Below are 15,069 nucleotides of genomic sequence, written 5' to 3' on the forward strand. Positions count from 1 at the left end.
CCTTCTTTAGCAAGTATACAATGAGATTCAAGTATAAACGAAGAACTCCATGAGTTCGCTAAAATATAAATTGATCTTTATATATTATACATACACTATTTTAGCTAAATGAGAAATGTGATGGATATATACATCTTTCCCTTATTAAATACTTAGTCAAAAACAGGCATGGTAAAATATCAGGCTTCGGCTCCTCAGGCCTCTGAATGACAAGTTACAACGTTGATTGCATTGTTAGGATGGACCTTACGTGGAGATGTTAATGGTGTGTCCCATCGGAGGCATCACAGACATGCTGGCCACCATCTTCTCCCTGTTCCTGCAGATTCTCTACTCTACTTCTGCACAGTGTTGTCAAGCCCAGCTTGACTACTAGGCAACAAAGCTGGGATTAGACTACAACTGGTGAACTCCTCATTTACTGCCCTTTTCATGTTACCTTTCTGCCTTTAACAGAGGACGCAATGCACAAGGAATCCAGTAAATGAGCTGGTCAATATCAGGTCTTAACCTGAAAGTAACTTAATTTTTTAAGATGGTTTCACTATCTGTCAGGATTGATGGACATCCCAAACCAGGGACAGTGTGAAGGTGGGCAAGAGGACATCAGCCTTCAGGCATCAGCATATGGGGGCCTCAAAAAGATGCAAGTTTTTACAAATTCCAGTGCCAAAACCACAGTATGCCGCAAGAGAAAAGGTGCCAACTGGTCCTGATTCCTCACTATGCCCCTCACTGGCTAAAATGTAATGCAGCTCCCTACCAAGGTTAGATCCACTTCACAGCAAGCCAGGCACTTGGACCTGCTAGTTGAGGCAGGCAGATTTCTGGCCTTGAAAGTAACCCACCTGTTATTTTCAAGTGGTGGAGAGTTCAGGGTCCCTTAGGATTGGGTCCCATATGGGGACTCAGGGTCTAGAGATTTTCCTTTTCTCATCAGACCTCCTGTCGCATTGTACTGAAGTCTCCGCAACACTGCCTGCTTAGAGCTATACAACAGGGCTTCATTCCATAAACTCATTCAGCCCCCATGGACCTCTGGGTTCTGCATAAGGACACATCATCTCGAGGAACTCCTTTGACCATGCTGTGTCGGAACTTCAGCCTCAGTCTTGCTTGGGAACTTCTGTCTTCTCCCTGATTCAGCGCAGCTCCCGCTAGTCAGGGACATCCATTTGCCTGCCTGGTCTGTGGCGTTCTTCCCAGCATGGGGCCCTTGGCTTGTTTCTATCCTGGACGTTTGGCAGAATGTACGCACTTATCTTTCAGGGGACACTGATCTGGACAATTCACCCTCATTCAAGGGACCCAGCCCATAGAGGGTAAAACTCTGATACATTCTTTTTAAAACAGGACTTCCTTTTGTGAATCTTCCTAACTTTGAAAACACTAATATTAAAAAAAAAAAAAAAGAGTAACACTTTTATTATGGCAGACATCAAGCATTCACAGGGTTTCTTAATTTTCAGTTCCAACTTCTGTTGCCCAAATGCAATCTTTTTGACATCTGTGTCAGGTTAGTTACAAAGCATTATTATTCTGGGCTGCACAATGTTGGCCCAACCTACCCAAATACAAGAAATTTTGCTGATTGATTTAGTTATTCCGTTCCTATAAATGAATCCAGTTGTGCAGCTGTTTCTGATTAACCAATGTACTGCTGGAGCTTTATATAAATAATTTTATAATGAACTCAGCAACGGCAAGGACATGAGAAGCAGAATCTAAACTCACCTCCCAGAAAAATAAGCAGGAGCAATGAGCGCAAGGACTTTCAACAACAGTCCAGGTTTAAATTCCTATCTGCTATGATTCACTTTTTCCTCTTTATGTAATTCAGCACAATTTATAACTAATGCTCTCAAAGAACCTTTGTCTTCAGATTTTTGGATTCAAGAGAGAAACTCAGCTTTGCAGTCTTAAAGCTCCTTTAAAATTTCCCATCTTTGTATTTTGTAAGTTTCTGTTTTTCCCATTAAAACATTTATATTTCCTGAGACAATTTCTTAAATAATGCACTTTTAGAAGAGGAAAATTGGAATTGAAAGGTCTACATTTACTTTACTATAAACAGAAATCAAGTGTTTTGTTTTATTTCAATACAGAACAATTAAGCTCTGTAAGTCCAGCCATGAACTTTTCTTTTTCAGTTCTAGAAGACAAATCATATGTATTATGATTAAGAAATTACAAAATTAAGCAAAAGACAGGTAAGAATAAATCAAATAAGTGAATTTTTTTAATGTAGAGACAGTGACAAGTGCTCCCTAAAGAAAACTTGAAACAAAACAGGAAAAAAGAGATCATAAAGTTTATACTTCTAAAATGAATTATGCTGGCAAAGATATGGGGAAACAGATATTTTCAAATAGTGTCAGTGAGACTGTGAATTACTACAGCTTTTGGAAAGTAATACTCCTTTAGAGACTCTGACAGACAGAAATAAAAAAGCTTCTGTAAGTTGGCAGGTTCAAATACACACACACACACACACACACACACACACACACACACACACACAGATGTTCCAGGAAGAATGGTTGTAGTAGAAGAAAACTTGACACAATATGAACAGTTAAATTGTGGAATATTAAGCAGCCATGCCATAAGTGAGTTTTTTATTCTGGAGAGAATGTCTATGATGCTTTATTATATTAAACGCAATTGTGGCATAATGTATTAATAAGTAATATAATTCTATTTTTAGGAGAAAAAACTATATATGTGCATATATACTTATACATAGTTATATAAGCAAGGAGAAAGTTCAGGAATTGATAATATTGATTACTTCAAAGGGTTAGTATTTAAGGGAGATAGGAGAAATTTATTAACTTTATATATTTCCATTTTCTTGTCTTCTTTATAGCAAGTACATATGCTTTTGTAATCTGAATAAATTTACAACTACAATGTAATTTTTATTTTTATCTACTTATTTTTTTTTAGAGACAGGTCTCGCTCTGTCATCCATGCTGGAGTGCAGTGGCATGATCATAGCTTACTATAACCTTAAACTCCTGGGCTCAAGTGATCCTCCCGCCTCAGCTTCCCAAGTAGCAAGGACTACAGGCATATGCCACCATGCCTGGCTAATTTTTATTTTTTGTAGAGACAGAGTCTGCTATGTTGCCCAAGCTGGTCTCGATCTCCTGGGTTCAAGTGATCCTCCTGCCTCAGCTTCTCAAAGTGCTGGGATTACAGGTGTGAGCCACCATGCTTGGTCAACAGTACAATATAATTTTTAAAGAGTGATAAAGAGTCATATTTTCAGCAAAAACATAGAAGCAAAGACTATAAATTACAAATACTGAGCACCTGGACTTGTGGTTAACAAAAACCTTTTCCAAGTTCTAAGAGACAATACGTTGTTTTTGCTTGTTTCCTCTGTGTGTGGGGTGGAGGCGGGGGTGTGAGGGGAGGAGTGGGAGGGTGGGCCGTAAGAGTTGGGAGGATGGGCATGAAGGCGTGGGGAAGAGATGTTACCCGATTTCTTTTTTTTTTTTTTGCTTTCATTTTATTTATTTATTTATTTTTGAGACAGAGTCTCACTCTATCACCCAGGCTGGAGTGCAGTGGCATGATCATGGCTCACTTGCAGCCTCCATCTCCCAGGCACAAGCGATCCTCCCACCTCAGCCTCCTGAGTAACTGGGCTACAGGCACATACAGCCACCATGCCTGGCTTTTTTTTTTTTCTTTTTGGTATTTTTTGTAGAGACTGGGTCCCACTATGTTGCCCAGGCTGCTCTCAAACTCCTGGGCTCAGCCATAGCACCTGGCTGCTTTTATTATTTTTAAGAAACATATAATAATTGTACATATTTATAGGATACAGTGTGATATCCCTCCCTCCCTCCCTCCCTTCCTTCCTTCCTCCCTCCCTTCTTTTTTTTTTTTTTTTTTTTTTTTGACAGGGTCTCACTCTGTTGCCCAGGATGGAGTGCAGTGGTGTAATCACAGTTCCACTTCCCTAGGCTTGAGTGATCCACCTCAGTCTCCTGAGTAGCTGGGACTACAGGTGTGCACCACGACGTCCAGCTAATTTTTGTATTTTGTGTAGAGATGGGGTTTTGCCATGCTGCTCAGGCTGTTCTTGAACTCCTGGACTCAAGCCATCCTCTCACCTTGGCCTCCCAAAGTGCTGGGGTTACAGGAGTGAGCCACCACACCCGGTCTTGCTTAGACTTCTTTCTAGGTTTTATCCTCTTCTCAGCCAAAGCAAGGGATGCAAAACTCCTGGGCAAAAGAGTTGAACTTCATTTATGTGGAAGTGAATCAGATACAGGTATTAGACCAGGAAATATCACTTCTTAGGTTCTACAATAATAACTTCTACTTTCCCCACAAGAACAAAACTTCCCACTTCTTAATTATTAGAATCATGGTTATTTTTTAATTTGGAACACATAAAAAGCTAATTATGTATAAGAATTTTAAAATGTCACATTGTGGCCAGGTATAATGGCTCACACCTGTAATCCCAGCCCTTTGGGAGGCAAGGCGGGAAGATCGCTTGAGCCCAGGAATTCAAGACCAAAGGGAGACCCCATTTCCACAAAAAACAAAACAAAACAAAACAAGGCACGGTGGTGCACACCTGTTATCCGAGCTTACTTGGGAGGCTAAGGTAGGAGGATCATTTGGGCCTGGGAAGTCGAGGCTGCAGCGAACTGATGGCACCACTGCACTCCAGCCTAGGTGACAGAGTGAGAAACTGTCTCAAAAAAAAAAAAGTCATCTTATATACATCACTTATCGTAAAGGACCACTCTTAGGATCAAATTTGTTTCTTGGCATCTTCAGAAACAAGATACTCTTCTGCAAAACAAAGATCTGTTTGGCTTTCATGAAAAATTCACTCAAATCTTACAGAGTGGAATAAATAAACCATCCTTTAACAAACATTGACAACCTACTATACAAGAATCTACTGTTTTGAGAAAATACAAAAGGATTTTTTAAAAAGTGATTGTCTTGAAAGAGCTTACAATCTAACAAGGAAGAAGAGATGCCTGCAAGTGACTGCAATACAGGATAGGGTGAATTTCAAGCCACATGTGAAGCCCAGAACAATAGCGATGGAAACTAAGAGAAGGCAGAATCAGCAAATGGAGAAGAGAACATTTTGGCTCTTGTTAAGAAGCATGTTCTTACAACGTGAACCATGCTTATCAAAGCTCCTAAACTAGTGAAATTTGTAGGTAATTGTGTCTCCTGTTAATTTTAGCACATTCTTCTTTTACTGAGTATCAGCAAAGTCTATTATTTCGACTTTTCAGCAAGCAATGATGATCAATCTGAAGATTCTTATAGCGTTCAACAAACAAATGAAGAGAAGGGGCAGTGTGGAGAGGAGGAATGGCAATGCAACAGCATACGAAAGGAAAGTGCAGTTTAGCTGGAACCCAGTATATGAAAAGTAGTGCATAATAAGGCTGATGTTGAAATTAAAGGTTAAAGGTGCGATGCTTGGAATCAGACTGCTCCACATTTGAATACTAGCTCTGTCACTAACTGTGGGACCTTGGGCAAGTTACCTAAGTTCTCTAAGCCTCAGGTTCCACATAAATAAACAGAACTTACCTCTCAGGGTAAGTGAATATCAAATGACTCAAATAACATACAGTAAGTGATAATGTTACAGAAAGGGAAAGAGGGAGAGAGAATAAAAGGAAGAAAGAAAGGAAAGAAAGATATTTTTAAATGTTTGGGCCAGATCATAGAAAGTTTTGAAGATTTCATTCACTTAAATTAATGTAATTGAGAGAGAAAAGGAAATTAAAAGAAGAAATTTAGTTATGCTGGAAAGATGGCTTATTAGAAGAAGAAAAATATATATACCCATAGTAAGCAATGCTAAAATGTTACATAGCAACATATTCCTTCAATGTGAACCCTGCTTATCAAGGCTAACAAACATTGTAGCTAATTGTATCTCCTGTTTAGCTACATTTTTATTTTATTGACTATTAGCATAGTCTATTATTTTTGACTTCTCAACAAATATTTGTGACCTGCAATCTCTGTAATGCTGAGCATGCTTCCTAGGACTCAAAAGTTTCTGATCCCTGGCCACGAGAAGAAGCAGTGGTACCCTCACCCCATGGCGTGGGTGCTGTAGTTGTGACCAAAGCAGCCTGGCCTGGGGCCAAGTGTTATTGGGTGTTTTACATCAGATATCTCATGCAATCTAATCTACTGTCATCTCTACACTGATGATGGCCACTGTGTGACTGCCACAACACATTAACCTGGTATTTCCCAGTGTCAAAGGGCCAGGAAAAGTGACAAGTCTGGTTTTTGCTTCCTCATCCTTTATCTGTCCAGACAACCTCAACAGAGTAGGTTTTCCTGGGTAAGCAGATACTGCGGGCTGGCAGCCCCTCAATACTAAGATTCTTTTCAGTGAGATCTCTCCTTGGGGGCTGTTAAAATATGAGATGACCGACATGAAACACTTGGTAAACTACAGACAGCTAAGGGGTTATTGTTCTATGTTAATTTACATCGAAAGCAGTTCCTGCGTTTAGGCTTTTTTGGTATTTACCTATGGAGAAAGGAATGCCAACAGTATTTTGTTCAGGCTAACACTGATAAATGTAATGCTAATGCTAATAATAATAATAGTCCACAAATACTGAGCAGTGACACTGTCCCAGCCAATCTGCTAAGTAATTCACATACATCACCTCATCTGACCCTTAGAACAATCCTTTTACAGAAGGGGTGTTACTCTCATTTCAAAATTGAAGATACAGGGCTGGGTGCGGTGGCTCACGGCTGTAATCCCAGCACTTTGGGAGGCCGAGATAGGCCGATCACGAGGTCAGGAGTTTGAGACCAGCCTGACCAACGTGGTGAAACACCATCTCTACTAAAAATACAAAAATTAGCCGGGCGTGGTGCACACTCCTGTAATCCCAGCTACTTGGGAGGCTGAGGCAGAAGAATCACTTGAGCCTGGGAGGCAGAGGTTGCAGTGAGCTGAGATCATGCCATTGCACTCCAGCCTGAGCAACAGAGTAAAAATTTGTCTCAAAAAAAAAAAAAAAGGTGAAGATACAAAGAATTTGTAAAAGACAGCATTGGGACTGGCCCATGCTTTACCCATTAGGAAACTCTGCCCTCTGGTAGCACATCAGCATCACCTGGGGAAGTTTTCAAAAAATGGATTCCTGGGCCTTACCACAGACTTATAGAATCACACCTTTATAAGCTTCTCGTCACACCCATGGCTAAGGATTAGCATACTAGTTAAAGTGTATTAAGCAGAATAGCATCACTCAACTAACTGAAGATATTCTGGGGGCTTTGGTACACCTAGAGTTTTCATTACTCAAAACTATACAAGGGACAGACTTAAGTTATTTTGACCTGACCATAATACCTACAGAGTGAGGAACAACTGACAAATGTCCGCCCTAGTGAACAAAAGTTAGAGCTGAGTGAGGAAGTATTCATCTGTCAAAGGGAGGTGAAGCCTAAACTGTTCCTCAATTGGAGAAGAGATGGTGGGACACGGTGTGAATGTGCTGATTAATCTTTCGATGCCTGGCACACAGTAAACACTTAATAAATATTTGTTAAGTGGACAAACGAATGAAGGAGTGCCTCCATCCAGCTGGACTCCTCTGAATTCCCTGTTCCCTGTATTTGGTCTGTACCTTTTTTACCTTATTTACCAAATTCTGCCTGCATACCTGCTGTTTGAAACCATGTCTCATCTCTACCAGAAAGTAAGCATTCAGGCGCAGACTTCATCTCTTTCTGAGCTACATCTTCCTTTCTACCCTTACCTAGCACAGAGGATAGCTATAACCTCTAGCAGGGACCCACAATACTCAATGAGTATCTGGCTTGATTCCAACTGTGACCTGATTCGACGTGGGTCCCTGCTAGCCACAAGGGATAAATAAGCCTACCAAGCCTTCAAGAACCATGGTATAATTGTGGCTTGCTGGGAAACAGCAGCAGAGAGAGCTTTGTGTGGAAACCATTAAGAATTCAGTAGACCACACTGGAGGGAAGGCTTCAGGAAGACCACAGCCCTGGGAGGTAAAATGACAAATATCAGATGCTTAAAAGTGAAGGGGTTATGGCAACAAATAAAAGGCACTTTTGTTTCATTTATTCTCTCAGTATGTGTTGTGGAAACCAACTATGTTCCTAAAATTACAACCATAGTTAGGAACACCTTGAAATAGCAAAGACAATGACACAGACCCAGTAATGAATACTGTCTGCTAAAAGGGTCTCATGCCTGACCATAGCACCTGAGACAGTAAATGTACAAGGTCAGGGCATACTACCCTCTCTTCACCACCCACCTTTCTGCTCATTATAGCTTTCGTGTCTTGGTGCTACACACTGCATGGTATCTGGATGGCCCCTGTATCATACTCCTTTTGCTGCTTCCTTCACACCCCATTATCCTACTAGATCCTCATACCCTGCAGTGGATGTAGAGCAAAGATTATCAAGCCCATTTCTTGGATGAGATAAGTGAGGCTCAAATTGTAATGATATGCCTAAGGGCACCAGAAAGTGGTTGAACACATTACAGACAATTTTTAAAATGAACAAATAGAAGGAGGCATGAATCCCCCCAGGAGGAAAGTCTCATTCTCTTGAAATATCCCAGAATTTGATCTTACCTTGCTTACAAATCTCTTTGCACTACGTCACACAACCTCAAAGAGTTGATGTGTTTTCATGGAGCCAAAGTTATGGCAGGGGTTGGGTAAGTCCCAGGGAGGAAGACAATATTACGGAACTGGTTTCATAACATCTGCAGAGTTTAGTCTGAACATTTCCATTCAACAGGTAATGGGCTCTCACAGGTGGCTGGGATTTGCAGACTATAGCACCTCCAGGTCCCCGAGAAACTCAGCCTTGTGCGGCTGATAGGCAGGTAGACACACACAGTCACAGTAGAAGGCAGTGTTGTGTGCACTGCAAAGGGATTAATAGGCAGAGTGCTGATAGCCTATCAAGGGTTTTCTCACCTCAAGAACCTAAAAGGTGATTTACAAACTGAAGTAGAACATTTCTTGGAGTTATTTTATCCATTACAAAAATAAGCATTTTTGAAGATGGAAAAATCTACCAACGACTCAAAATGAAGCTACAGTATTGTTTTGAAATTGCTTTGGGAAGCTGGCAAAAGAAAACCCACCCAGCGTGGAATCTGTTCACGGGCTCTGCGGCTGCATCCGACGGGAGTCTGGGGCTACACGCAGCCAGGGATGGGGGAATGGGAGTGGGGTGGGGTCCAGAGACGATCCAGGGGGCAGGACGGACACACGCTTTTCAGTAAAAGGGACCAAGTCCACTTGGTCACTGAGCCAACTTGAGAGGCTTCCCAGAGAACTCAATAAGGCCAGGAGCCCGTGGCTGAAGAAGGAATACTCCATCGGGATTTAAGCAGGACCAGAAGACCTCACCAGGCTCAGTTCCTCACACAGCCACACCCTTTGTTAATCCCAAAGAGCTCAAAGTCTAACCAACCACCAGTGGTCTGATTTAGAGCTCTTTGCGATTAACAAAGGCTCACAGCGACTGGGTCAGCTGCTTTCCCTTACACTCACAACGCTAACAGTTCTTTCTTTAAAAAGAAAAGTATGTATAGTAGAAAAAGGTAGGGGACGCGAGACTGAAGTGAAGCTGTCTCTGGAGAGTTCGGGGGATCACCCCCCCTCAACCCCCGTCCCCACTCCGGGCGAAAAGCACTGACCGGGACTGGAGATGTCTCTAAGGTCGACGCAGACCCCTAACGCGCGCGTCTACGCCGACCTGGGGCGAGCGGGCCGCCCGGGAGGGCCGGGAGGGAGGCGGGCTGGAGCGCGGGAGGGGCACGGTTCCCATAGACAGGCAGGCGGGCGGTGCCAGAACTTGAGCCGGCCCCAGGGGATGCCCGAACGTCCCCCTCTGTCCTAGCTGGGGTGTAGGTGCAGCCCCAGGGCATCGCCGCGAAGCCCCTGCTCGAGACCTACGGAGATAGTGGGTCCCGAGCCCCACGGGGCGGCCCCGGGTCCGCGGAGTCCAGCGGTGAGCTCAGCCCGAGGCGCGGGACCCAGGCTGTCCACGGCCCCTTCCTCCCCGGGCCATCAGCGGGCAGCAGAACGCGCGGGCCGCTGGCCTGGAATTGCGCCCCTCCCGAGGCCGCGCGCCCGCGCCCACCGCTCGCAGGGGACGCGGCCTCGACGTCCCCAGCCGCCCCACCCGCGTCACCGGTGCCAGGCGGCACTTCCGTGCCCCGCCGTCGAGCCCAGCCCCTCCCGGCGTCTCCCCCGGCCCCCGGGAGCCCGGAACCCGGGTCGCGCCAGAGGCGACGCGTCCCTTACCGCGCAGCGGCTCCGGACGACTCCGCAGCCCCGCGCCGCGCTGGGCATTTTTTCTGGGAAACTTCTCCCGGGGTCCGCAGGGCTGAGCCGGGCGGGCAGGAAAAGCGCTCAGCGCCGGGAGGCTGCGACCATCCGGGAACTTCGCCGAGATGTGGGCCCTCCCCTCCGGCGCCGCCGCCCCCCCGCCGCCCCGCCACATGTGGACGCGCCGCGAGGCCCCGCCGGCCCGCGCCCTGCCCTCCGCGCGCCCGCCTGCCCCGCCAGCAATGGGGCTCTGCGCCTGCAGCTTCGGCCCGCAGAGGATCGCGGCGGGGCGGGATGGTCGGGGCTGGAGTCCGCAGTTTCCTCAGTCCCGCTCCCCTGCGCGGCGAGGGGACCGAGGCAAGAGGACAGGAGTTTGCAGAGGGGCGGGAACTGGAAGGGGAGTCTAGCCCAGGGCCTTTCCCCCCAACTCTTGAATCTTCTCCACCTTCTTGCGGCTGCTGGCGGGGGGATCGGGTGGGGGTGTTCCCTCTGTTCGAGCCGGAAGGAACGCCTTTTCCCACGCTTTCCCGTCTGCTCTCAAAAAAAGAGTGTCCAACTTTCAGATATCTGAAATTCAAATTAATTTTTAAAAATGGATTTAAAATCGGGGTGAACCCCACAGAGGGCCAAGGTCCACACGCATCTGACTCCTGCCCACTATGTGGGGACAACGTGCTGCTCTTCCCTCGGAAAGATGCTGCCTCTCCTCACAAGTCGGTTGGAATTGAGTCGTTTTGCTGCCAGTGGGGATGGATTTATCATCAGCCACCCACTTCCTTAAATACGGTAGGATCCACAGCAAACATGTGGAGAAAACCGAAGCTCTACTCCATTGCCCTAGCTAACTCCTGCTCATCAGGGGGTTCTGACCAGCTCTGAGAGCTGCCACCTCCAGGCCCCAAAGAAAAGTTAACATTCACTCGCTAAGACGCTATAGCTACTGAGTGTGCATTTGAAAGGAATAACAACAAAAAGTTCTTGCTCAGTGTAATAACCATCGGATCATATTGTTAAAATATCAAGGCTGTGTATCCCTTTGAATTAAAGCAGAAAGGTGAGAATATAAAACCACCTTTGCAGAATTATAACTGAGGAAATTGTGACAGTGAAAGAAATCAGACCTACTCTGAAACAAAATTGATAATAGCACTTTCCTGAAAAGATCCCCTTCTTTCCTGGGGACCAGTCTGCCTTTGCAGGACTAACAAATTAGCTGTAAGACTAGAAATTACAGTTTAGGGGTCATGCAGCCTCTGTCTCCAAGAGTCCGAACCTCCCCAAATTGCTCCCGGGGATAACATCACTATTGTAAAACCTAAGATCTGTGCTTGAGATACTTTGCAGACCCTGAACTCAGTGGATCAGCTGACACCACCCAGAATGATAATCTGGCTTAACCAGTTCTCCCATCCCACCCAGGAACAGAAAAGAGCAAGAAAAACTCACTTCGACCCCCTGTGATTCCATCTCCAACCTGGTCAATCAGCACTCCCCACTTCTCAAGCCCCTGCCTGCCAAATTATCTTTAAAAAGTCATCCCTGAATGCTCAGGGAGACTGATTTTAGTAATAATAAAACTCTGGTCTCCCGCACAGCTGGCTCTGCGTGAATCCGTCTTTCTCCATTGCAATTCCCCAGTCTTGGTAAATCGGCTCTGTCTAGGCAGCGGGCAAGGTGAACCCATTGGGCGGTTACAAATAGATGCACTTCGGAATTGTTACACCATGCTGAGGGACCTTAACTCCCGGCTTTCTCTGCTTCTGTACCACTCCAGTGTGCACACGTGTATCTTGATATGCTTTTAACAGATACAATGACCTCTCTGGGAAAGACATTTAGTAACATGGGAAACTCTTCCCATTGGCAAATTTTTGTCTAAATGTACCCATCTTTTTAAGGTCCATTAACTATTTGCCTTTCTTTTAAAACCATTTCTATGGTAATACACATATATTATGTTTTATATAAAATGAAGACAAGCAGTTTAATATATAAATATATTACTCCAGACTTGAAAACATATCAGTAGCACTAACTGTGGTTAGCAAGGAAATTAAACCCAGGAGCTGCCTGGTCCCCTTACTAGTTCTCCAAGCCTCAATTTTTTGCTCCAGTAAAATAGGGATAACAATATTTCCTATCTCCTGGGGTTGTTGTAAGGATTAAATGGGATAATCTCCCTAAAGATGAGCAGAGTAGTGGCACACAAGTGAACAGGAAATCTTATCTTTGGTTCCCTAGTGTTCAGCAGAGCTCCTAGTACCTTGTACGGAATTGATTAAATGTTTGTTGAGATAAGGACTCTCTTGAGTTTGTGTCTCTCAGGAATCTGTGAGAATTTCAATGTTGATATACACAAAAGAAAATTGGGAAGGTAAAATACTCCCCCTTCATTTCATCATTGAAAGCCAAAAATAAATTGTGTTCTGAATTGTCTACTGTTTTAAATCACTCATAAGGCCAGTAATCAGTTGTCAAAAATGGCCCTGCTTCTCTCCCTTCCAATTTTTAACAGTTCTCTCAATTAGGTCAAAACCTAAATAGTATTTTATCAGTGATAGTTTTCTGGTTTTGTTACGGGAAAGGAGATCCAATCCAGACCCCAAGAGAGGGCTCTTGGATCTCTCTCAAGAAAGAATTCAGGGTGAGTTCATAGGGTAAAGTGAAAGCAAGTTTATTAAGAGGGTAAAGAAATAAAAGAATGGCTACTTCATAGACAGAGCAGCCCTGAGGGCTGCTGGTTGTCCATTTTTATGGTTATTTCTTGATGCTATGCTAAACAAGGGGTGGATTATTCACGCCTCCCCTTTTTAGGCCATATAGGGTAACCTCTTGATGTTGCCATGGCATTTGTAAACTGTCATGGTGATGGTGGGAGTGTAGCAGTGAGGACCACCAGAAGTCACTCTTGTGGCCATCTTGGTTTTGGTGGGTTTTAGCTGGCTTCTTTACTGCAACCTGTTTTATCAACAAGGTCTTTATGACCTGTATCTTGTGCTGACCTCCTATCTCATTGTGTGAGTTAGAATGCCTTAACTGTCTGGGAATACAGCCCAGTAGGTCTCAGCCTCATTTTACCCAGCTCCTATTTAAGGTGGAGTTGCTCTGGTTCACATGCCTCTGATGGTTTCAATAAGTTGCCTATGGTTATGAAAGATGTGAACATTTGAGGAAGCTAGGTGAAGTGCATATGGCAACATTTTTACTGTTTTTGCAACTTACTTATAAGTCTGAAATTATTTTAAAAAGTTAAAAAATTAAAGGTAAAAAATATCAAACCCTGAAATTCTTCAACAGATACCTTGTTCCCTTAGGTGATGTCAAATTTCAGCTTAAAATGAAGACATTGAAGTTAGTAGCATGCAAAAGTATTATGCTAAACCTTTGTAGTCATGTATACTTTGATATGAATGAGTTAATAAGAAAAAATGACTTAATGAATGCTGCTTGAAGACTAAGCTAGGCTAGAAATGTTACAGTGATCTTGGGGAAAAGGGAGAAGCGAGGTAGATAGAAGGATGTTGAGATGCCAAACTAGGACAAACTAAGCAGGGCACAATATCATTAAATACATATATTTGCTTACCATTTCATAACTACCATTTTGGGACTTACTTTGACCTCTAAATTAGCTTAGTGGTGCCTTAGAACTTCCCCTCTTATAACAAGCTTTTTTTTATTGTAATTACTTGTTCCCCAGTAGATAGTAGCCCCAGTCTAGAGGGAGAGAGTAGGCAAAGGGACCTGCCTGCCTGGCTCACCGCAGTCTTCTCAGCTCCAGCACATTCTCACTATTCATTACCACTTGATGAATAAGTGAGATGCTTTTACAGAGTACCTCATTGAATTCTTACAGTAACTTTGTGATTTAGATATTTGTCTTCATTTTACAAATGAGAAAACTGTGACTCAGAGAGCTTAGGTAACCTGCCCAAGACCACTCAGCTTGTGACCTTCTAAATCCAGATTATTTTGATGCTAACACCCTTGTTTTAACCACTATTTAATACTGTCTCTTGGCTTTACTTCCTATTATTGTTCCCTCTTTTGAGCTTCTGCTGGTGTGAATGACCTGAATTGACTGGCATCCAGATTCCTTGGTGCCAAATAGCAAAATAAAAAAATATTGTTTCTATTGTTGGAAGGAATTGTTGAGGTTCAGGTAGATCTGGCTAAAGGCTGTTTAACAGCCTGGGTTTTCTCTTCTGCATCAATGCAGGGAGGAAATGGAATGCTATGTGGGACGACAGCACCATGCTAGGCCAGGGATACTGTGAAGAATCAGGATGTGTTGGGAAGGAAGGAAGGAAGGAAGCTGCTTTGCACCTAAAAAATGCTCAGCATATATTTAATAGATATATCCAAAACTGAAAGGACTGAGCTCTTGAGAGCTAGATATTTTACTTATTTACACTACACCGTATTCCAAAAAAAGACTTAAGACAGTAAGAGTTGAACAAGATAAAATTTAAACTTTAGTCTGAGATAGCAAATTTAGTAAATATTTTCACTTTATCATTTTCTTCCCTTACTAAAAATAGTTCTCATTCTAAACAATTCAAATATTCCATAAGCATAAAATATAGAAAGTGAGTCTCCTGCAATCCCATTCACCAGAGATAACCACTAATGGTAGGGTATATATTCTTCCCTGTGTCTTTTTTTCTATGTATTTTTATTTTTCTTCATCAACAAATAT

General features: G+C 43.5%; 1 protein-coding gene across 9 annotated transcripts in view, besides 3 other annotated features; it reads right to left on the bottom strand.

Moving 5' to 3' along the window:
• The window catches only part of WIPF1 (WAS/WASL interacting protein family member 1), a 123,340-nt gene extending 112,854 nt beyond the window's left edge, over positions 1-10,486 (bottom strand). For 8 of the 9 annotated variants that reach the window (NM_001375835.1, XM_047445756.1, XM_047445755.1 and 5 more), the window contains exon 1: positions 10,347-10,486. The gene's annotated coding sequence lies outside the window, so the exon portion shown is untranslated. 9 annotated transcript variants of the gene reach the window in all.
• Positions 9,618-9,667: an enhancer, noted in NCBI's record as "active region_16785". NCBI's record gives its function as "activates an Ori minimal core promoter by ATAC-STARR-seq in GM12878 lymphoblastoid cells {active_cell/tissue: GM12878}" and the evidence as "EXISTENCE:reporter gene assay evidence [ECO:0000049][PMID:35858748]".
• Positions 10,028-10,507: a silencer, noted in NCBI's record as "silent region_12128". NCBI's record gives its function as "represses an Ori minimal core promoter by ATAC-STARR-seq in GM12878 lymphoblastoid cells {active_cell/tissue: GM12878}" and the evidence as "EXISTENCE:reporter gene assay evidence [ECO:0000049][PMID:35858748]".
• Positions 10,518-10,687: a silencer, noted in NCBI's record as "silent region_12129". NCBI's record gives its function as "represses an Ori minimal core promoter by ATAC-STARR-seq in GM12878 lymphoblastoid cells {active_cell/tissue: GM12878}" and the evidence as "EXISTENCE:reporter gene assay evidence [ECO:0000049][PMID:35858748]".

The sequence above is a fragment of the Homo sapiens genome, chromosome 2, assembly GCF_000001405.40.
Source record: "Homo sapiens chromosome 2, GRCh38.p14 Primary Assembly".
In the NCBI taxonomy this organism is placed as follows: domain Eukaryota; kingdom Metazoa; phylum Chordata; class Mammalia; order Primates; family Hominidae; genus Homo; species Homo sapiens.